The sequence below is a fragment of the Homo sapiens genome, chromosome 19, assembly GCF_000001405.40.
Source record: "Homo sapiens chromosome 19, GRCh38.p14 Primary Assembly".
Classification (NCBI taxonomy): domain Eukaryota; kingdom Metazoa; phylum Chordata; class Mammalia; order Primates; family Hominidae; genus Homo; species Homo sapiens.
Genome location: NC_000019.10, coordinates 33,038,837 through 33,061,038, shown reverse-complemented (window position 1 = coordinate 33,061,038; position 22,202 = coordinate 33,038,837). Strand labels below are relative to the sequence as shown.

Genomic DNA, 22,202 nt, shown 5'->3' with positions numbered 1-22,202 from the left:
TTTAAAGCAGGACCAGACCTGTGAGATTTGTGTAAGAAAAAGACCGCTTTGACACGTGAATGGTGAATGGGTGGCGAATGGGAAAGAAGCTATGGTGGAGCCAGGCAGGGAGGCATTGGGAGGATTTAGCCCCTTGTAATACCTATCATCTTTGCCCTTCCTTCTCTTTTACGGACTACTGATGATGCAGTCAGTGACAGTGCTGTGAGTGGGGTGCAGTGCCTCACACCTGTAATCTCAGCATTTTGGGAGGCCAAGGTGGGAGGATTGCTTGAGGCCAGGAATTCAAGCCCACTCTGGGCAATAAGCAAGACCCCATCTCTATAAGAAGTTTAAAAATCAGCCTGGCATAGTGTTGTGTTCCTGTAATCCCATATACTCAGGAGGCCTAGGTGGGAGGATATCCGGAGCCCACGAGGTTGAGGCTGCAGTGAGCTGTTATCATGTCACTGCACTCCAGCCTGGATGACAGAGTGAGACCTTGTCTCACAAAAAACAAACAAACAAACAAAGAAACGGCCGTGTAAACACAGCCTCAATCACCCATTCTTTCCACCAGCTTGCACCCTTAGCTCAGACCAGGGGTCCACACAGAAGGCAGGGATTCTAGTGATGAGGAGGTTGGAATGATAGAGCTGGAGAAAGGGCAATATCTGGCAGAGAGGGAAAGAACTGATGTGATTGGCAGGGAAGGAGCTGCCAATGAGAATCCAAAATGCCTGCCTATTAGCCAGGTGTGGTGGCACCCAGCTATGGTCCCACCTACTCAGGAGGCTGAGGCAGCAGGATCGCTGAGCCTGGGAGATGGAGGCTGCAGTGAGCCGAGATCACGCCACTGCATTCCAACCTGGACAGCAGAATGAGACCCTGTCTCAAAAAAAACGTCACAATGCCTGCCTGAGGTGTCTGGTCATGCGCCTCCTCAAGATCCATGAATGCGGGTGAACGCGGAGGCTAGTGTGTAGACTTGATGGCCCTCATGGGATATCCATGTGGCGGTCCCAGCAGAGAGCCCACTCCATGGGCCCAGCAGCCATGCAGGCGCCCTGGCTGGAGATGCAGTTTTGGGTGGCACCAACTGGGAGGCAGTTGGGGTATTGAGTGAAAGGATCTGGGCTAGAAAGGATCCTCCGCTTAAGAGGTGGGTAGAGAGGTGGGAGGAAAGCCAGAAGGGTGGCCAGGTCTAGGAAGCTGAGAGGTCAGTCTTGTTAGTCGAGCAAGGCGTGACAAGTCAGAAGAATGCTGGAAGGTCCTAGATTTAGTTCTTTAGGAGTCGTTAGGAAATGCATGGTTGGAGAATTGGGGACAAAAGTCAGTGTGACAGGGTACAGGGGGAGAAGGGCAGGGAAGATATTGCTGGAGAAAGAGGGGAGCTGAGAAGAGAGAAGGCAGCTTTGTTTTAGAATGTGGAAGTCCAGAGCTGGTTAAAGACAAAGGTGTGGCAGGGCACAGTGGCTCACACTGTAGTCCCAGCACTTTGGGAGGCCGAGGCAGGCGGATCACCTGAGGTCAGAAGTTTGAGAGCAGCCTGGCCAACACGGTGAAACCCTGTCTCTACTAAAAATACAAAAAATGAGCAAGGCGTGGTGGCGGGCACCTGTGATCCCAGCTACTCGGGAGGCTGAGGCAGGAGAATTGCCTGAACCTGTGAGGTGGAGGTTGCAGTGAGCCGAGATCGCGCCACTGCACTCTAGCCTGAGCAGCAGAGCGAGACTCCGTCTCAAAAAAAAAAAAAATGATAAAAGAAAAAAACAAAAGTGAAGAAGTTGGGTGGGGAATGGCTGGAGATTCAGGGAGAAGGTGAGCTGGGGATGGGGCCCAGGAGTCGAGGCGGGGGGTGAAGATTGCCAACAGCTGCTGCATTGATTGGGTGGCTGAGCCAGCCGGGGGCAGTGAGTGAGAACCCATGAGGCTTCCCATCTTGTATTATTATTATTTTTTTTTGAGACAGAGTCTTGCTCTGTCCCCCAGGCTGGAGTGCAGTGGCACAATCTCAGCTCCCCGCAACCTTCACCTCCTGGGTTCAAGCGATTCTCATGCCTCAGCCACCTGAGTGGCTGAGACTACAGATGTGCGCCACCATGCCCGGCTAATTGTATTTTTTAGTAGAGACAGGGTTTCACCATGTTGGTCAGGCTGGTCTTGAACTCCTGACCTCAAGTGATCCACCCACCTTGGCCTCCCAAAGTGCTGGGATTATAGGTGTGAGTCCCTGCACCTGGACCTGTATTTTGACTATTGGGATTTCTTTGTTGTTATTGAGACGGAGTCTCGCTCTGTCGCCAGGCTGGAATGGAATGGCGGGATCTTGGCTCACTGCAACCTCCGCCTCCCGGGTTCAAGTGATTCTCCTGTCTCAGCTTCCTGAGTAGCTGGGACTACAGGCGCGTGCCACCACGCCCAGCTAATTTTTGTATTTTTAGTAGAGTTGGGGTTTCACCATGTTGTCCAGGATGGTCTCAACCTCTTGACTGCGTAATCCACCTGCCTCGGCCTCCCAAAGTGCTGGGATTACAGGCATGAGCCACTGCGCCTGGTGACTATTGGGATTTTATGCACACTTAAGGATCAAATGAATTTCCACTGAAGTCAGGCTTCTCTTTCATCCTGTTCTCTGTGTCATGCCTTCCCTCCCCTTTTCTTTAAAATGACATTATGCTCCATTCATCCGAAAAGGATTTATGGAGCGACAGCTCAGTGCCTGACCCCTCCTCAGGTTCTGGGGCATTCCAGACCCTGACTCGATACAGTTTCTTTGGCAGCAGTTCCCAGCAGGTCTCGTTTCCTGGAGTGCTGAGCAGTGCTGGGAATTGGTGCTTTGTTGGGATGGCTCCGGCCATGCTTGAAAAGGAATCAGCCTCTTGGCTTTTTTTGTTTCTGAAATGGAGTCTCGCTCTGTTGCCCAGGCTGGAGTGCAGTGGTGCACTCTCGGCTCACTGCATCCTCCGCCTCCGGGGTTCAAGCAATACTCCTGCCTCAGCCTCCCAAGTAGCTGGGATTATAGGCACCCGCCACCATGCCCAGCTAATTTTTGTATTTTTAGTAGAGATGGTGTTTCACTATGTTGTCCAGGCTGGTCCTGAACTCCTGACCTCAAGTGATTTGCCCGCCTTGGCCTCCCAAAGTGCTGGGATTACAGGTGTGAGCCACTGCGCCGAGCCCAGGAGTCCCCTTGTTAATTGGTCTTTTTGGAATCAGGTAGGATGACTTGGCTGTACAGAGCCTCAAGACATAACTTAGCCTCAGGTTGGAAATGGACACCCGCAGTACAGATCTCCTGGTCTGGGCTGGTACCTTGGGAGGTCTCTGAAAAAAGAAACCTTTCAGGTCTATTTTTTTTTTTCTATCTTTTTTTTTTTTTTTGAGATGGAGTTTCGCTCTGTCACCCAGGCAGGAGTGCAGTGGCACGGTCTTGGCTCACCACAGCCTCTGCCTCCTGGGTTCAAGTGATGTGCCTCAGGCTCCTGAGTAGCTGGGATTACAGGCATGTGCCATCATGCCCGGCTAATTTTGTATTTTTAGTAGAGACAAAGTTTCTCCATGTTGGTCTCGAACTCCAGACCTCAGGTGATCTGCCTGCCTTGACCTCCCAAAGTGCTGGGATTACAGGCGTGAGCCATCATGCCCAGCCTCAGGTCTATTATAAAATCATGTCTCTCACTTTTTTCTTTTCTTTTCTTGTCTTTTCTTTCTTTTTTGACAGGGTGTTGCTGTGTCATCCAGGCTGGAGTGCAGTGGCATGATCATAGCTCACTGCAGCCTCAACCTCCCTGGCTCCAGTGATCCTCCTGTCTCAGCCTCCTGAGTAGCTGGGACAACAGGCATGAGCCACAAAGCCTGGCTAATTTTTAAATTTTTTGTAGAGACGGTCTCACTGTGTTGCCTGGGCTGGCCTCGAACTCTTTTTTTTTTTTTTTTTGAGACAGAGTCTGGCTCTGTTGCCCAGGCTGGAGTGCAGTGGCACCATCTCGGCTCACTGCAAGCTCCACCTCCCGGGTCCACGCCATTCTCCTACCTCAGCCTCCTGAGTAGCTGGGACTACAGGCGACCGCCACCATGTCCGGCTAATTTTTTTTTTTTTTTTTGTATTTTTATTAGAGATGGGGTTTCACCATGTTAGCCAGGATGGTCTCAATCTCATGACCTTGTGATCTGCCCGCCTCGGCTTCCCAAAGTGCTGGGATTACAGGCGTGAGCCACTGCGCCCGGCCTGGTCTCGAACTCTTTGGGCCCAAGCCTCAGCCTTCCACAGTGCTCGGATTACAGGCATGAGCCACCGCACCCAGCTTTCCCTGGCTTCTCACTATATTTTTTCTTTCTCATTATGTTACTGTGTTTAAACAGAGGTACAGCTCTATAAGATTATTATAAATTACTTTCTCAACTTATATTACTATAATTTCTCAAGAAGTGGAAATGCAACTTCTTTTCCCCAGATTTTTATGCTCTTCCTACTGAAAATCTTGGAAGAATTATTGTTCTCTGGCCTGTAGTTAAATGCAGAGTAATGTAATTTTCTAGAATGCTGCATCCTGATAGAGATTCCTTTTCTGCAACTGCCCCTGTACCCCACAGTACTAAAACTCACAGGAAAATCTGTTGTGGCCATGAAGAAAAGCAGCTGGAAGGCCGGGGGTGGTGGCTCATGCCTGTAATCCCAGCACTTTGGGAAGCTGAGGTGGGTGGATCACCTGAGGTTGGGAGTTCGAGACCAGCCTGACCAACATGGAGAAACCCCGTCTCTACTGAAAATACAAAATTAGCTGGGTGTGGTGGTGCATGCCTGTAATCCCAGCTACTCGGGAGGCTGAGGCAGGAGAATGGCTTGAACCTGAGAGGCAGAGGTTGCAGTGAGCTGAGATCACGCCATTGCACTCCAGCCAGGGCAACGAGCAAAAAACTCCGTCTCAAAAAAAAAAAAAGGAAAAAAGAAAAAAAAAAGAAAAGAAAAGCAGCTGGAAACAAACTAGAGAAAGCCTTTCCCCAGGGCCATTGAAAGGCCCAAAATGAAAGGTCTTGGCACTATGTGGAAGAGGAGAGTGAGTACACAGTGAGGCATTGTCACTTCTTATCTCTGCCTCTTCATCCTTTGGGAATGCTAATGCCCCAAAATGAATTTAGCTCCATTGTTTTTACTCAAGAGCTGTAGGAGAAGTTGTTTCTTGTTCACAGAAACCTCCAGCCTGGACAGGGCCTCCGGGTTCATTGTGTCCTGGTTTATGGTCCCTGTTGACTCTGGGCTTCCTGGAGGCTCCGGCAGAGAAGGAAGGAGAATTTTTGTTTGTTGTTGTTTTTTTTTTTTTTTAACCCAGAAGCTCCTTGCAGTCTTCTCTCTGCAAGGAGCAGGGATCTACTCTTTGATGAATGAGCAGCATTCATCTTAGTGAGGGCTAATTTCGTGTTAGACACTTGTGTGCATCTTTTATGAACGCTTGTGTGGATGAGGAAGCCTTCTGATGGGCTGAGTCCACCAGGAACAGCGTGGGTCATGTGGGATCAGCAGCTCCAGCTCTATTGGTACTGATACTACCCCTCCGGCTGTTTAGATCCATCCCCTTGGACCCTTGAGTCAATTCCCAGGTGGAGAGGGAGGGAGGCAGAGGAGAGTAAAGGTTGGTGATGCTGACCCCACTCCTGATTCCCCATGATGGTCTAAAACAGCTTTTTTTTTTTTTAAAGATGACAGAATCTGGCTGTGTCACCCAGGCTGGAGTGCAGTGGCACCGTTGTAGCTCACTGTAGCCTTGACCTCCTGGGCTCAAGTGATCCTCCTGCCTCAGCCTCCCAACTAGCTGGGACTAGAGATGTGATTAAAAATTGCCACACCTGGCTGATTTTTATTTTTATTTTTTGTAGAGATGGGGTCTTACTGTGTTGCCTAGGCTGGTCTTCAACTCCTGGCCTCAAGCAATCCTCCCATCTCAGTGGTGGGCTATTACAGGTGTGAATCACTGCACCCAGCCCTAAGCCAGATCTTAAAGGCCAGGCTGGATCCAGGCTGACTGTGGCCTTGGAGAGGGGAGGGTCTGCCCAGCTGCATGGTATCCACCATCAGCCCCGAGGGTCTGCCTGACCAACAGTCTTCAACTGTGGGATCCTGGCTGGGAGGTATCCCCTGGCAGAAACAGAATTTTCAGGGTGACTCAGAGGAGAGACAACGTGATGAACTATAACACTGTAAATGTCCCTTGTTTCCTGGGGCCATTTGGATGGTTGCCACGACACCACCTGATGCTACTGGGCGTTGGCTTTAGCCTGATCAACACTTCCTCCTTTGGCTCAGGTACCAGCGTCCCGTGACACAAAGGCTGCATTGGAGGTAGCCATAGGACACAGTCGAACTGCAGGTACCGCTCAGCCAGAGGCTGGGTGTCTGGCAGAGCAGCAGTAATGGGTGCCAAGTGAGGACAAGGTTCCCCACTTGGAGCACCAGGGACGGAGACACCACGGTGAATGATGTGAGTCCCTCAGGGCTGCCCATTCAGACCCTCGGAGTTCCCTATGGCCAGGTTTCCATTTGATTGTAACAAGAGAAAAGGGGACCAGCACAGTGGCTCACACCTGTGATCCCAGCACTTTGGGAGTCCGAGGCAGGAGGATCATTTGAGGTCAGGAGTTCGAGACCAGCCTGGACAACATGGTGAAACCCTGTTCCTACTAAAAATGCAAAATTAGTCGGGTGTGGTGCTGCGTGCCTGTAATCCCAGCTACTCGGGAGGCTGAGGCAGGAGAATCGCTTGAACCTCGGAGGTGGGGGTTGCAGTCAGCTGAGATTGTGCCACTGCACTCCGGCCTGCTGGGTGACAGAGCAAGATTCTGTCTCAAAAAAAAAAAAAAAAAACAAAGAAGAAAAAAGGGCAGGTGGTAAAAAAACAAGGCTGGATGTAGTGGCTCACACCTATGATCCCAGCACTTTAGGAGGCCACGGTGGACAGATCACATGAGCTCAGGAGTTCAAGACCAGCCTGGGCTGCATCGACAAAACTCTGTCTCTACAAAAAATACAATAAAATTAGCCAAGTGTGGTGGTGTGGACCTGTAGTCCCAGCTTCTCGGGAGGCTGAGGTGGGAGGATTGCTTGAGCCCCAGGATATTGAGGCTGCAGTGAATGGAGATCACGCCACTGCAGTCCAGCCTGGGCAAGAGAGTGAGATCCTGTCTCAAAAACAAGAGACTGGGCGCGGTGGCTCACACCTGTAATCCCAGCACTTTGGGAGGCTGAGGCAGGTGGATCACCTGAGGTCTTAGGAGTTCAAGACCAACCTGGCCAACATGGTGAAACCACGTCTCTAGTAAAAAATACAAAAATTAGCTGGGTGTCCAGGTACAGTGGCTCACGCCTGTAATCCCAGCACTTTGGAGGCCAAGGCAGGTGGATCACGAGGTCAGGAGTTCAAGACTAGCCTGACCAACATGGTGAAACCCCATCTCTACTAAAAATACAAAAATTAGCCAGGCATGGTGGTGTGCGCCTGTAATCCCAGCTACTCTGGAGGCTGAGGCAGGAGAATCGCTTGAACCTAGGAGGCAGAGGTTGTAGTGAGCCAAGATCGCACCACTGCACTCCAGCCTGGGCAAGAGAGCGAGACTCCATCTCAAAAAAAAAAAAAAAAGCAAAACTGTTAAAACTGTTGTTGAGTGTGTCCTACCAGTTGAAATAAGCAGATCATTGGTCTGGAAATACAGTTGATTCATGGAAATGTTCACGATTTGATGTGGTGGGAGGCACAGTAAAAGCCTAGTTATTCAAGGCTGGGCGCAGTGGCTCACACCTGTAATCCTAACACTTTGGGAGGCTGAGGTGGGTGGATCACTTGAGGCCAGGAGTTTGAGAGCAGCCTGGCCAACATGGTGAAACCTCGTCTCTACTAAAACAAAACAAAACAAAACAAAACAAAAATTAGCCAGGTGTGTTGGCACATTCCTGTAATCCCAGCTACTCAGGAGGCTGAAACAGGAGAATCGCTTGAACCCGGGAGGTGGAGGTTGCAGTGAGCCGAGATCACACCACTGCACTCCAGCCTGGGCAACAGAGCAAGACTTCGTCTCAAAAAAAAAAAAAAGTTATTCAGCATATTGAAAAATAACTGTGATTGGCACACAGTAGGGGTTTATAGAGATTTCTGGAAGAGACTGAAGGGAGCTCGTAACTAAAGATTATGGCTGTGTTGACTCATATCGAGCCCCCCTCCACCCCTGTGTGAATGGATTGGGATTCCCGGGGGAGGCGGCTGGGCCCTCACCTCCAGCCCTGACACCTGGCAGAGATCCTGGAAGGGCAGGAGGGCTGTTGACAAGTACTGAATTCATGTTTTTATTTTTATGGACATGGACAAGCTAGATTCTTTCCACCCAGCCTGCCCTGAATCTCCAGTGTGGTGAAAAGTTAAATTAGATGTATGTGTGTATTGCAGTGTACTGCATGCTATTTTCTGTGCTTTCTCATTGATTGCTCTGGCTGACTTATAAACAAGCAATTCTGTTTTCCAGAGTTTGGTGGTTGAGTGAGGGATTGCGTAACCAGGAAGGAGTGAGAAAGGCAGAGAAAATAATCTTTGCTGGAGAAGCAGCTAAAAACACCTGCCTTCCTGTATCCCGTGGGAAGGTCTCTCTGGCTGGGAGCTGGCCCAGCCCTACCGTGTCATCTCTCACTTAGTTTTACGCCTGAACCTTTAGATCCCAAGCTTGCACATTGCCCTAAATTTGCTGGAAACACCTCTGCATGTGTGAGCTTTATCTTTGGCTGTGCAGAAGAAGGGCCCATACTATTGCCTATAGTGGAGGGGAAGCAGGTGCCAGGCACTGCCCAGAATGGAGCAGGGCCCCCATAGGGGAAGAAAAACTGCCCTGTTCCAGGAGTAGCTTGACCACCCTTTCCTTTCTTCCTAATTAAGTGCCTGCCTCCAGTTTTATATTTTTTTTTTAACTTAACATAAATTTATTTTTCACAGTTCTAGAGGCTAGAAATCCAAGATCAAGGTGCCAGCACGGTCAGTTTTTGGTAAGGGCTCTCTTTCTGACTTTAATTCTTTTTTTTTTTTTTTTTTTGAGACAGGGTCTCACTCTGTCACCCAGGCAGGAGGGCAGTGGCAAGTTCTCGGCTCACTGCAACCTCCGACTCCCGAGTAGCTGGGACTATAGACACACGCCACCACGCCTGGGCTAAGTTTTGTATTTTTTGCTTGAGACAGGGTTGCACCATGTTGGCCAGTCTGGTCTCAAACTACTGACCTCAAGTGATCCGCCCACCTCAGCCTCCCAAAGTGCCATGATTATACACGTGAGCCACCACACCAGGCCTTTGTCTGATTTTAGACAGCCACTTTCTCACTTTGTAAGAAACTTGTAACAGTGGCAGAAATGTCACTGTAGCTGTGATCTGTCTGTTCACTGAACAGATTTCACCTAGGATAACATTCTGAGGCTTTTCTCTGGGCACACATTTAGTTGTTACACCACATTATTTAGCTGTTTTATGAGCTTAAGAACAGTAGTTACAAGCAAGGTGAATCCGCATTGCTGCACTCAAAGCTTTCAGATAGGTGTGTGCCACACTAATATAAACGGTTGCTGTACACGTACAGAGAAACTTCTCTAGTAACGAACTGTAGAAATGATCCCTGGAAGTACAGTCTTCCTGCCTGTGGGCTTTGTCTAGGTGCTGCTCTTAAATACGTGTCTTACAGGTGAACAATCTGACTGTACATTAAGGGCATGTAAGTGACCTGTAAAGAGAGTTTTCACTCTAGGCCAGTGCGGTGGCTCGCACCTGTAGTCCCAGCACTTTGGGAGGGCGAGGTGGGCAGATCACTTAAGTCCAGGAGTTTGAGACCAGCCTGGCCAACATGGCAAAACCCTGTGTCTACTAAAAATACAAAAATTAGCCGGGCATGGTGGTGTGCACCTGTAATCCCAGCTACTCAGGAGGCTGAGACAGGAGAATCGCTTGAGTCCAGGAGGCGGAGGTTGCAGTGAGTTGAGATCATGCCACTGCACTCCAGCTTGGGTGACAGAGTGAGACTCTGTCTCAAAGGAAAGAAAAGAGTTTTCACTCTAGGTAAACTTATTTGAGTTAGTACTTTTTTAGTTGCAGGTGCTAGAAAATTTAATCCAAAATAACTTTGGCAGATAAACACACCCTAGTATGTTCCTCCAATAGAATTCTATCCCACAATAAAAAAGGAACACACAAATTAGCCGGGTGTGGTGGCGGGTGCCTGCAATTCTAGCTACTCAGGAGGCTGAGGCAGGAGAATCGCTTGAGCCCGGGAGGTGGAGTTTGCAGTGAGCCGAGTTCACGCCACTGTGCTCCAGCCCGGGCAACAAGAGCGAAACTCTGTCTAAAAAAACAAAAAAAGGAACAAACTACTGGTAAATGAAACAGCATGGGTGAATCTGAAAACATGGTATTGAGCAAAATAAACCAGACATAAAAGTCTACATCCTATCTGATTACATTTACATAGTTCAAAAGCAGACAAAAATATGTGGTGATAGAAATCAGAGTATTGGTTGCCTGGGGATGATGGAAATGTTCTGTGTTCTGTATTTTGATAGGAGTGATGGTTACGCAGGTTTATATGTTTGTTCAAACTCATTGAACTATATACTTAAAATATGTGTATTTTATTATATATAAATTGTATCTCAATTCAGAAAATTGAGATACAAAGAAGGGAATGAATTGGTTGCTGTAAATGAAAAGTACAGAGGGATGGCTTCAGGCCTAGCTTGATCCAGGGCTCAGATGACATCGCCAAATCTGTTTCTCAGCTCAGCCCACCTGGGGTTGGTTCCCTGTCTAGGGAGACACTCTTCTGCTGGTGGTAAGGTGGCTGCAACTGCTCAGTGTCACAGCCTCCCAGGTTCAAGGCCAATGAGGACCTCTTCCTGATGGGTTTCGATTGACCCTGATCTTCAGGCTTTGGTTTTCCAATGGGCCAGGCAGAAGTCAGATGTTCTTCCCTTTGGAAAGGATGTTGGGGGAGCATGGATTTACACACACACCCCTGCCCCCCACCAGGCCATCATGGGCTATGAGGCGGGAGAGTGGGCTGGCATCACTGTTCCCCCAAAAGATGTGGGGTGATGGTGGGCAGCCATCACCCATGAAGGGGTGTCTGGGGGTTGCATGCATTCCTACCGCTCACACCGCCTCACCGCTCATCCTGGAGCAGCAGGAAGGACAGGGTCTTAAATCCCACCCCAACTTTTACTGCCTGCCTCTAGGATCTCAAGTTGCTCATATAGCCTCCTTGCTGCAGAACCATGGGATCCGAGATGCTGTACCAGGGTCCACATAAGCGGGCCGACCCCAGGAGTTGCCTGTAAAGCTGGTGATGACACGGGGGTTCACTCAGTACTTGCTTTTCTTGGGTGTTGGCTGTTTGCCCACTCTTCAAGTTTCGGGACTGACGGAAATGTCCGAACCTTAGTGTGGGAAGGGAATAGACTCTGTGGAGGAGAAAGTCTCACTTCACTGTAGAACTTGTCAACAGCAGATCCCGAGGTCAGGACAGCTCAGTTGGCCCCACAGGTGTGAGAGGTTTAGCCCCAGTCCCTGGTGCAAACCCTCACTCCAGTCTCAGAGCGGCTTTGTGTTCTGTTGAGAACCAATCCCTGTCTCTGAGTTGCAGAGGCTATTCTGGAAGCTGTTTGTTCAGGGCTAAGGTCTCGTTATTACACAAGATAGGGGGTGGGGTGAGAAATGTATGGGTGGGGATGGTGGACCCGCCACCTTGTCCCCTACAGAGCAGCCCCTGGCAGGGGCTAGTAGATGGCCAATAGTTTCTGGTGATGCCAGGGAGTCTTTCTGACAGTCTTGTCCAGATTTACCTCTCAGGGAAGTTTCCACACACAGCCCCGTGGGTGTTTCTTGTGTTCCCCAGCAAAGCCCAACATTCCTACCTGTCAGGAATAAGTAATGTGGTTTCGGGCCCAATTACTCAGTCAAATCTAACCCTAAGTGTTCCTATGCCTTATCTAGAAACCTGACCACATATCTATGGGCTGGTTAGGGCGTACTGATTCCAGGCCAGCAGAAGTTGGGGAAAGTATACGAACAGAAAAAAAAACATTCTTATCCGTAGTTTGGAATGGCTGCTTATCTGAGCTCTGGGAATGTACGTAAAGGAATTAGTTATTCAAGCTTCCCTGTAAAATGAAACACAGCAGTGGTGATCCAGGTAATTCAGAGTCAAACTGAATCGTCGTCATTTTTGGAAGTGGAAAGGAAAGAGATGAACAGTTATTTTAGTTATTTAATATTTAATTATAATAGCTTAACATTAAAGTTTTTTTTTTTTTTTTTTTTGAGACTGAGTCTCGCTGTGTCACCCAGGCTGGAGTGCAGTGGTGTTATCTTGGCTCACTGCAACCTCTGCCTCCCGGGTTCAAGTGATTCTCCTGCCTCAGCCTCCAGAGTAGCTGGGATTATAGGCGCATGCCACTACGCCCAGCTAATTTTTATATTTTTAGTAGAGACAGGGTTTCACCATGTTGGCCAGGCTGTTCTCGAACTCCTGTCCTCAGGTGATCTACCCGCCTCAGCCTCCCAAAGTGCTGGGATTACAGGCGTGAACTACTATGCCCGGCCAAAGATATTTTAATCTTAAATCTGAAGAAAGACAAAATTGGAAACCGTTTAATGCTTTAAACGATATTAATTTTAAAATCCATTCCAGGGCTGGATGCCATGGCTCATGCCTGTAATCCCAGCACTTTGGGAGGCCGAGGCGGGTGGATCACCTGAGGTCAGGAGTTCGAGACCAGCCTGGCCAACACGGTGAAACCCCATCTCTACTAAAAATAGAAAGATTAGCTGGGTGTGGTGGTGGGTGCCTGTAATTCCAGCTACTCAGCAGGCTGAGGCAGGATAATCACTTGAACCCAGGAGGCAGAGGCTGTACTGAGCTGAGATCGTACCACTGCACTCCAGCCTGTCTACAGAAGCCAACTCGAATTCCGAATATCTGTGCAATTTGAACTTGGGGGAAAGTGTCCTTGCGAGACAGGGAAAATTAGGTTGTGGGGCTATGTGGGGGATGGGTGGTGGTGACCTGATGGGAAATGAGAATGAGAAGTCTTTTATTTTTATTATTATTTAAAAATTTTTATTATTATTTGTAGAGACAGAGTCTCACTCTGTTATCCAGGCTGGAGTGCAGTGGCGCAATTGTAGCTCACCGCAGCCTCAAACTCCTGGCCTCAAGCGATCCTCTGGCCTCAGCCTCTCAAAGTGCTTGGGATTACAGTTGTGAGCTACCATGACCATTCTGGCCAAGAATGAGAAATCTCTGTGGAAGGAGAATACTGGGATTCCTGAGGAGGTTTCCGCTATAGATAACTCACATCTCCCTCCCTGGGGTCCAGGCCATGGGTGTGGCTTGGGCAGAGGTCGGAGAGGCCAGGTGTGTGCAGGCCTGAGATGTGACTCAGGGAGAGAGAAAGGGCAGTCTCTTCACCACGTAATACTACCCGCCAGACCGCTCCCAGGGAGTAACCGCAGTGGGCAGGACCTAGAGATAAGCGGCAAAGAGGAATGTGGGCGTATCCCAGGTCCTGAGGCTTCTACCTGTCTGGGGTGGGAAGAACACCATTCAGCTAAAATGCAGCTTTTATTCTGATCTTAAACTTTTAGCGTGAAGCGTTGTAATCCAAATACCCCAGGGCACAATGGTCAGAGAACACAGACAATTTGTTGAAAAAGAAATTAAAGTGTCAAGATTATATGGAAAAACCTTTACCTTCACTGTTATAATAAACATACAAATTAGAAGAATGAGCTATCTATTTTTGCATGTCAACTTGACAGAAATTAAAAATAATTTTCAACCAGACAGATAAAAAGACAATCCAGTTTAAAACTGGGCAAAGGAGAGCTGGGTGTGGTGGCTCACACCTGTAAGACTAGCACTTTGGGAGGCCAAGATGGGCAGATCACTTGAGGTCAGGAATTCAAGACCAGCCTGGCAAAAAAATGGTGAAACCTTGTCTCTACCAAAAAATGGAACAATTAGCCGGACGTGGTGGCATGCACCTGTAGTCCCAGCTGCTCAGGAGGCTGAGGCAGGAGAATCACTTGAACCCAGGAGGTGAAGGTTGCAGTGAGCCAAGATCATACCACTGCAGCAGTCCAGTCTGGGTGACAGACTGAGACCCTGTTTCAAAAAAAAAAAATGGGCAAAGGATCTGAATTGATATTTCTTCGAAGAAGATATACAGTTGGCCAATAAGTTCATGAAAAGATATTCAACATCATTAACTGTCAGGGAGACACAATTCAAAACCACGATGTGAGACAGCACACACATAAGGTAGCTGTAATAAAAAAGATAGACCAGCACCTGTATTGGTGAGATGTAGATGAATTGGAACTCTCATCCTGTTAGTTGGGTTGTAAAATTGTATAACCACTTTGAAGAGCCTGATAGTTCCTCAAATCATTAAACATAGAATAAATCATATGATCTAGACCGGGCTCAGTGGCTCACGCCTGTAATCCCAGCATATTGGGAAGCCAAGCCAAGCGGATCACTTGAGGTCAGGAGTTTGAGATCACCCTGGCCAACATCATGAAACCCGCCTCTCTACTAAAAATACAAAAATTATCTGGTCATGGTGGTGCACGCCTGTAATCCCAGCTACCCGGGAGGCTGAAGCAGGAGAATCGTTCGAACCTGGGAGACAGAGGTTGCAATGAGCCGAGATCGAGCCACTGCACTCAAGCCTGGACGACAGAACAAGCCTCTGTCTCAAAAAAACAGAATCAAAAATAAAAACAAAACAAAAAAACCACCTGATCTAGACATTTTATTTCTATATTTATAGCCAAGAGAAACAAAAGCACATATCCATATAAAACCTTGTACGCACATAAACAGCCTTATTCGTAATAGTCAAAAAGTGAAAACACTCCCCATGCCCATTGTATGATGAATGATGAATGGATAAAGTACACAAGTGTGGTGTATCTATGTAATGAAATCTTATTCAGGGACAAAAACGGACAAAGTTCTGATACATGCTACAACCTGGATAAACCTTGAGAACATCATGGCAAATGAAAGAAGCCAGATGCAAAGGCCACATATTATATGATTCCGTTTATATGAAATAATCTTGAATAAGCAAACCTGTAAAGACAGAAAGTAGATTGGTGGTTGCCTAGGGCTGGGGTTAAGGGGAAAAGGAAATGAGGAGCGATGCTAATGGCTACTTGCTTTTTTTTTAGGCTGATGAAAATGTTCTAAAATCAGATAGTGGTTGATGGGCGTGGTGGCTCGCGCCTGTAATCCCAGCACTTTGGGGGGCTGAGGTAGGCAGATCACTTGAGGTTAGGAGTTCAGGACCAGCCTGGCCAACATGGCGAAACCCTGTCTCTACTAAAAATACAAAAATTAGCCAGGCGTGGTGGTGGGCACCTGTAATTCCAGCTACTCGGGAGGCTGAGGCAGGAGAATCACTTGAACCTGGGAGGCAGAGGTTGCAGTGAGCCGAGATTGTGCCACTGCACTGCAGCCTGGATGACACAGCAAGACTCCATCTAAAAAAAAAAAATCAGATAGCACTGATGGTTCTGTAACTCCTGAATATACTAAAAACCAATGAATTGTTTATTTTAAAAGGGCAAAACGTATGGTATATGGATTATATCTCCATAAAGCTGTTACTAAATAAAAAAAGTAGGCCAGGCGCAGTGGCTCACACCTGCCATCCCAGCCCTTTGGGGAGGCCAAGGCAGGTGGATCACTTGAAGTCAAGAGTTCAAGACGAGCCTGGGCAACATGGCGAAACCCTGTGTCTACTAAAAATACAAAAATTACCTGGACATGGTGACATGCACCTGTAGTCCCAGCTACTTGGAAAGCTGAGGCATGAGAATCACTTGAACCCAGGAGTCGGAGATTGCAGTGAGCCGAGATCGCGCCACTGCACTGCATCCTAGGCACGCAGCGAGACTCCATCTCCAAAAAAAAAAAAAAAAAAAGTAGATACTCAGTAACAGTGAGGGGGAAAGCGGTCACAAGGGTGTGGGTGCCTTTCTGTCCTGGAGGATGATTGGGCTGGCCCATGGGTAGCCCTGAAAGGTTTGATCTTATAACTCTGCCCTAGAGATATGTCTTTAATTAATTTATTTATTTTTGAGACAGCGTCTCACTTTGGTTGCCGAGGCTGGAGTGCAGTGGCATAATCTCGGCTCACTGCAACCTTCAGCACCCAGGTTCAAGCGATTCTCGTGCCTCAGCCTCCTGAGTAGCTGGGATTATAGGCGCCCACCACCACACCTGGTTAATTTTTTGTATTTTTAGTAGAAACAGGGTTTCACCATGTTGGCCAGGCTGGTCTTGAACTCCTGACTTCAGGTGATCCACCCGCCTTGGCCTTCCAAAGTTCTGGGATTACAGGCATGAGCCACAGTGCCTAGCTCAGACCTTGTCTCTAAAATAAATTACATAAATAAAATAGATGAGAAGGAAAGACCAATTCACAGTGGCTGTTTTGCAATTGTGTTGTTATGAGCGACTTTTCTTTATACTTTTCAATATTTTCTATGTAGATGCTTTGTTTTCAGAAAAGATTATTTTTAAAGTTAAACATTTTCCATTATATTAAACCCTGTCATCATTTTTAGAGTGGCCGACCTCTGAAGGGGCATCTCTTATTTTTCCTCAGGGCTGTAATCCCCTTGCACAAACCGGCCGGAGTAAATTGCAGAATCAAAGAGCTGCTTTGAATCAGCAGATCCTGAAAGCCGTGCGGATGAGGACCGGAGCGGAAAACCTTCTGAAGTAGGTGTCTTCTGGCTTCCCTGCCTCTCCTGAGTCCTAGTCATCTGTTCCCTAAACTCCCAGGCCAGGCTCTTGGTTTCAGCTTTGGGTTTCCTCCTCATTTCTGGCATCTGGAGTCGTCCCTTTCTTGCCTATAGCTTGGTTATGTTGAAAACAGATATTTTACCCCGCCTGTTTGTGTGTTTGGGGATTGGGTGGGTGGGAGATAGATGCAGACGGTGTGGCATTTGGCTTCAATTCAGTCAGCCATCTTGATGGGAAGCCCAATTTTTGTCTCGAGGTTTGTTTTCTGGCTTTCTCTGGGACTTGTCTATTTTCTCCACTGCCTGACACTATGCCTGGTGCAGAATTTGCTTGGTAAATGTTTATTGAATATATAAAGGAAAGAAAAGCAGAAAGGAAGGAGAGGGGATATTTCTATTGCCAGTGTCCACCTTGCTAATGAGAGGGCTCAGTACACCCCCGTGATCTAGGGCACTCATTAGTATGCTCTCGTGGTAAAACAGTTACTTACCCAGCATAGAACTCAGAGAAGCCTTACCTGTGTCTAGACCTCTATAAACCCTCTCCAGGCAACGAAATGCAACAAAAGACAATGTGCCAGCACTCTGTTTACAAAGAGTGCAGAGTTTCTTCTTCCTTCAGAGTTCTACTGGAGACCATGGTTAGCCCCGTGCCGCCTTGTTTTTTGTTTGTTTGGAGACAGTCTTGCTCTGTCGCCCAGGCTAGAGTGCAGTGGCGTGATCTCGGCTCACTGCAACCTGTGTCTCCTGGGTTCAAGTGATTCTCCTGCCTCAGCCTCCCCAGTAGCTGGGACCACAGGCATGCACCACCATGCTTGGCTAATTTTTTGTCTTTTTAGTAGAGACGGGGTTTCACCATGTTGGCCAGCCTGGTCTTGAACGCCTGGCCTCAAGTGATCCGTCTGCCTCCACCTCGCAAAGTGCTGGAATTACAGGCGCGAGCTACTGCGTCTGGCGTCATGCCACCTTTTTTCTTTTTTTTCAGATGGAGTTTCGCTCTTGTTGCCCAGGCTGGAGTGCAATGTGCAATCACAGCTCACTGTAGCCCCCAACCTCCTGGGCTCTTCAAGCAATCCTCCTAACAGCCTACTGAGTAGCTGGGACCACAGGCATGCACCACCATGCCCGACTAATTTTTTTTTTTTTTGAGACGGAGTCTTGCTCTGTCACCCAGGCTAGAGTGCAGTGGCGTGATCTTGGCTCACTGCAACTTCTGCTTCCCAGGTTCAAGTGATTCTCCTGCCTCAGCCTCCTCAGTAGCTGGGATTACAGGTGCCCGCCACCGTGCCCGGCTCATTTTTGTATTTTTAGTAGAGACGAGGTTTCACCAACTTGGCCAGGCTGGTCTCGAACTCCTGACCTCGTGATCCACCCGCCTCAGCCTCCCAAAGTGCTGGGATTACAGGCGTGAGCCACTGTGCCTGGCCAATGCCCGACTGATTTTTTAAAAATTATTTGTAGAGACAGGGTCTTGCTGTGTTGCCCAGGTTGTTCTCGAACTGTTGTCCTCAAGTGATCCTCCTGCCTTGGTCTCCCAGAGTGCTGGGATTACAAACATGAGCCACTGTGCCTGGCCTGTGTTGCTTTTGTTACTCACGGAATACCTGATGACTTGAGGTCCTGGGTGGGAAGTTTGTCTGGGAATCTCTTCTCCAGCTCCTTTTGCAACTGGGTGCAAAGCAGGTTGTTACTGGAGGAGGCTGGGAAAAATACTGTAGCGTTTTGGCTTTTAAAAAGTCAAGCAGTGTCCCTATCCCAAGACAAGTTTGGACATGGGAATTGTCCACTCCCATAGCAGAGAGCAACTCATGTCATCTGTGTGACGTGAGAGAGGCCCCCGATTTTGGGACTCCCTGTCATGTGCTGGGAAGGCCGTGGTATGTTTTGTGGCCTAGGGTTCTGGTTGACCCTTGGACAGGCCTGCTCTGTGGCCAAGGGGGCAGGTGGGCAGCCTTGATGGTGTATGGCTTTCCTAGGAGTGGACAACAATTGATTTACCTATTCATGGATTCATTGAGCACCTTTTTTTTTTTTTTGAGATGGAGTTTCACTCTTGTTGCCCAGGCTGGAATGCAATGGCTCAATCTTGGCTCACTGCAACCTCTGCCTCCCATGTTCAAGTGGTTCTCCTGCCTCAGCCTCCCAAATAGCTGGGACTACAGGCACGTGCCAGCACACCTGGCTAATTGAATTTTTTAAAGTTTTAGTAGAGACAGGGTTTCACCGTGTTGCACAGGCTTGTCTCAAAGTCTTGGCCTCAAGTGATCCTCCTGCCTCAGCCTCCCAGAGTGCTGGGATTTCAGGAGTGAGCCCCTGTGCCTGGCTATTGAGCACCTGTTAAGTGGCAGGCACAGTTGAGGTGCCTGAAGATCAGGCGAGGCTCTGCTTTTGTGATTTCTCTTGTTGGAGGATGGGAGGAGACTTTTATAGACAAGTAAACAAATCAGATCACCTAGGGAAGTGATGTTTTCTAGGGAATAATGAACTCTGAATATCATAGAGGTTGGCCCAGGATGGCCAGCCTTAGAGACAGAGGGTGGTCAGAGAGGCCCCTGTGAGCAGGGAACTTGGACTTTCTCAGGCAGGAACTAGGGCAGTTTTGTGTGCCTTGTTCTCTTAACGACAACAGCAGTCACCCTTTCTGAGGCCCGAGCCTGACTCAAGCTCATTGTTAAACTGGCAGTGGTTGGGTTGGCAGGGGCAGGAGTGGGGGGTTGTTAATGATTCTCACAGTGGCCTAAAGGTTCAAAGTACCCCTTGCTGGAGAATGTTGTCAGAGGAAACCCTGAAGGTATTTATTAATCTGACTCAACAAGCACCAACGGTTTCCCGAAAACAAATAGGGCATTTTGCCAAGCTCCGCTCTGGCCCCTCAGTGTCCCTGGGCGACCCATTACGTGGCTGTCTCTGCAGGCCATGGGTGGTTTCAGTTGTAAATTAGGCCCTGCTTTCCTTCTGTTTGTCTTCTGGTTCCCAGGTTTCCTACCGCAGCCCCCAAAGGAAAGTAGATCTGTTGGAATAGGGGTGGGGGATGTTTGGAGGTGTCCCCAGAAATGCAGGAATGGAAATGGGGGTGCTAAGCCCTTATCTGAGGACTGTCAGAGGGTATCGTGGCTAGGCAGGCACTTGAAAAACCAGATTTTATGATCCTTCAAAGTCTTCCCCTTCTCTGATCCATTCCAGCTGGGAGTCCATGAGCTTCCTGGAGTTTTTTTAGGAAGCCATCAAATATTTCAAATGCACTTTTTTCAGGTTTGTTTGTTTTTTTTGAGACAGAGTCTCATTCTGTCTCCCAGGATGGAGTGCAGTGTCGAGATACCAGCTCACCTGCGCAACCTCCACCTCCTGGATTCAAGTGATTCTTGTGCCTCAGCCTCCCGAGTAGCTGGGATTATAGGCATGTGCCACCATGCCTGGCTAAATTTTATACTTTTAGTAAGACAGGGTTTCACGGTGTTGGCCAGGCTGGTCTGGAACTCCTGACCTCAGGTGATCTGCCTGCCTCAGCCTCCCAAAGTGCTGGAATTACAGGTGTAAGCCACCATGCCTGACCGTACTTTTTCATTTAGGCCAACCAGAGACAATATTCTGTCTTCTCCCAGCTTCCCTCCCTTGAGAAAAGCTAGGGTAGAAATATGATGAAGTTTATCTGAAATTGAGGCAGTCCTTGTGAAATTTAAAGCAGGGCCGGTGAGCACTGTGGCTCACTTCTGTAATTCCAGCATTTTGGGAGGCCGAGGTGGGCGAATCACAAGGTCAAGAGATCGAGACCATCCTGGCCAACATGGTGAAACCCCATCTCTAAAACTAAAAATAAAAAAATTAGCCGGGTGTGGTGGCACGTGCCCGTAATCCCAGCTACTCGGGAGGCTGAGGCAGGAGAATGGCGTGAACCTGGGAGGCAGTGCTTGCAGTGAGCTGAGATCGCGCTACTGCACTCCAGCCAGGGCCACAGAGCAAGACTCCGTCTCAAAAAAAAAAAAAAAAAAAAAAAGGCAGGTTGCCTAGTTTTAACTAGTTTTAGCTAACTAGTTCTTTGATTCTTTGAACAAGAGCAGGTCATTTAACCTCTCTGGGCTTCAGGTTCCCCTGTTGTGCTGAGAGTTGTTGGGCTAGATCAGAAGTGACCTGCTCCGAGGTTTACAGGGATCAGGTGGGCTTTAAATGAGTGAATGGGGCTGGATTCTGTGCTGTGAGACAACAGGGAGTGGTGGGGACTGTGGTGAAGTGCACAGCATATGCCCTGTCTGGATGAGGCAACTGCAGTTTGCCTCATGGAGGGTAGGGCCAGAGTTGCTGTATCTTCTAATTTTTTTTTTTTCCAGGAGAAGTTAGGAATTTTTTTTTGTTTTTAATCTGATTGTTGAATTTTTTTTTTTTTTCTTTTTGAGACAGAGTCTTGCTCTGTCACCCAGGCTGGAGTGCAGTGGCGTGATCTTAGCTCACTGCAACCTCTGCCTCCCAGGTTCATGTGATTCTCCTGCCTCAGCCTCCTGAGTAGCTGGGACTACAAGCATGCGCCATCATACCCGGCTAATTTTTGTATTTTTAGTAGAGACGAGGTTTTGCCATGTTGGCCAAGCTGATCTCAAACTCCTGACCTCAAGTGATCTGTCTGCCTCAGCCTCCCAAAGTGCTGGGATTACAGGCATGACCCACTGTGCCTGGCCGATTGTTGAATTTTTAAGTTTTGGGGACTCGTTTCAGAGGGGGGATAGTAACATCCTGAGAGCCAGGTGAACAAGTCCCTCGGGCCTTCAGTTTAGTTTGTGACCTCTGGACGGGGGTGATGAAATTCTGGGTCAGGAGTGACGTGAGGTGGCCTTGGCTGTCATGAGAGTGACTTGAGGTTGATGACAGCTCACACCGTCAGTTGTGGGAGGGCTGGTGTGTGTCTGTGGTGGGGTTTGCAGGCCCTCCATAGCCTTTGGGGCTGACATCAACATCAAGGCCCACCTTCCTCCATTGAGAGACAGGCTGGGAGCAGATGTCCTGCCGGTCTGGCTGATCAGCCACCTCAGCAGGGGATGGGACAGTCCTCGCTCCAGCCTCCTGAAACCCTGGCAGAGCGGGATTTGGGATCAGATGGACTAAGGCTAAGCTGCTCTAATAAGGTCGCTGAAGCTGCGGCAAGTCACTATGTCAATGTGGTGCTTATTCCTGGAAGGATAGTTTTATTAAAAGACTTGGGAGAAAAATAATTACACTAAAACAAATGGGGACAGAATGCAACATACACATGTATTACTTTAAAAAAAAAACTTTTTAGACCAGGCGTGGTGGCTCAAGTCTGTAATCACAGCACTTTGGGAGGCTGAAGCGGGCAAATCATTTGAGGTCAGGAGTTTGAGGCCAGCCTGGCCAACATGGTTAAACCTTGTCTCTACTA

At 48.5% G+C, this 22,202-nt stretch overlaps 1 protein-coding gene and 1 pseudogene across 1 annotated transcript in view, besides 8 other annotated features; one reads left to right on the top strand and one right to left on the bottom strand.

Moving 5' to 3' along the window:
- RHPN2 (rhophilin Rho GTPase binding protein 2) overlaps window positions 1-22,202 on the top strand; it is an 86,297-nt gene that overhangs the window by 3,850 nt on the left and 60,245 nt on the right. The window contains exon 2 of the mRNA NM_033103.5: window positions 16,675-16,790. Within this exon, the coding sequence (NP_149094.3) occupies window positions 16,675-16,790 (116 nt within the window). The remainder of the gene's footprint in view (window positions 1-16,674; window positions 16,791-22,202) is intronic.
- Window positions 3,511-4,034: an enhancer, noted in NCBI's record as "H3K4me1 hESC enhancer chr19:33547911-33548434 (GRCh37/hg19 assembly coordinates)". NCBI's record gives its function as "activates a minimal SCP1, AML or CMV promoter by ChIP-STARR-seq in naive H9 embryonic stem cells {active_cell/tissue: H9 hESC(naive)}" and the evidence as "EXISTENCE:reporter gene assay evidence [ECO:0000049][PMID:30033119]".
- Window positions 4,035-4,558: an enhancer, noted in NCBI's record as "H3K4me1 hESC enhancer chr19:33547387-33547910 (GRCh37/hg19 assembly coordinates)". NCBI's record gives its function as "activates a minimal SCP1, AML or CMV promoter by ChIP-STARR-seq in naive and primed H9 embryonic stem cells {active_cell/tissue: H9 hESC(naive and primed)}" and the evidence as "EXISTENCE:reporter gene assay evidence [ECO:0000049][PMID:30033119]".
- Window positions 5,692-6,192: an enhancer, noted in NCBI's record as "H3K4me1 hESC enhancer chr19:33545753-33546253 (GRCh37/hg19 assembly coordinates)". NCBI's record gives its function as "activates a minimal SCP1, AML or CMV promoter by ChIP-STARR-seq in naive H9 embryonic stem cells {active_cell/tissue: H9 hESC(naive)}" and the evidence as "EXISTENCE:reporter gene assay evidence [ECO:0000049][PMID:30033119]".
- Window positions 9,535-9,636, bottom strand: LOC124904805 (uncharacterized; annotated as a pseudogene).
- Window positions 12,041-12,759: an enhancer, noted in NCBI's record as "H3K27ac hESC enhancer chr19:33539186-33539904 (GRCh37/hg19 assembly coordinates)". NCBI's record gives its function as "activates a minimal SCP1, AML or CMV promoter by ChIP-STARR-seq in primed H9 embryonic stem cells {active_cell/tissue: H9 hESC(primed)}" and the evidence as "EXISTENCE:reporter gene assay evidence [ECO:0000049][PMID:30033119]".
- Window positions 17,169-17,719: an enhancer, noted in NCBI's record as "H3K27ac-H3K4me1 hESC enhancer chr19:33534226-33534776 (GRCh37/hg19 assembly coordinates)". NCBI's record gives its function as "activates a minimal SCP1, AML or CMV promoter by ChIP-STARR-seq in naive H9 embryonic stem cells {active_cell/tissue: H9 hESC(naive)}" and the evidence as "EXISTENCE:reporter gene assay evidence [ECO:0000049][PMID:30033119]".
- Window positions 18,905-19,406: an enhancer, noted in NCBI's record as "H3K4me1 hESC enhancer chr19:33532539-33533040 (GRCh37/hg19 assembly coordinates)". NCBI's record gives its function as "activates a minimal SCP1, AML or CMV promoter by ChIP-STARR-seq in naive H9 embryonic stem cells {active_cell/tissue: H9 hESC(naive)}" and the evidence as "EXISTENCE:reporter gene assay evidence [ECO:0000049][PMID:30033119]".
- Window positions 19,538-19,682: an enhancer, noted in NCBI's record as "145 bp enhancer 165 fragment used in the MPRA reporter construct; PK_construct_167". NCBI's record gives its function as "activates an SV40 promoter by MPRA in HepG2 cells {active_cell/tissue: HepG2}" and the evidence as "EXISTENCE:reporter gene assay evidence [ECO:0000049][PMID:23512712]".
- Window positions 19,604-19,617: a transcriptional cis regulatory region, noted in NCBI's record as "HNF1 motif; enhancer activity is reduced when this motif is scrambled". NCBI's record gives its function as "necessary for full MPRA enhancer 165 activity {active_cell/tissue: HepG2}" and the evidence as "EXISTENCE:site-directed mutagenesis evidence [ECO:0005528][PMID:23512712]".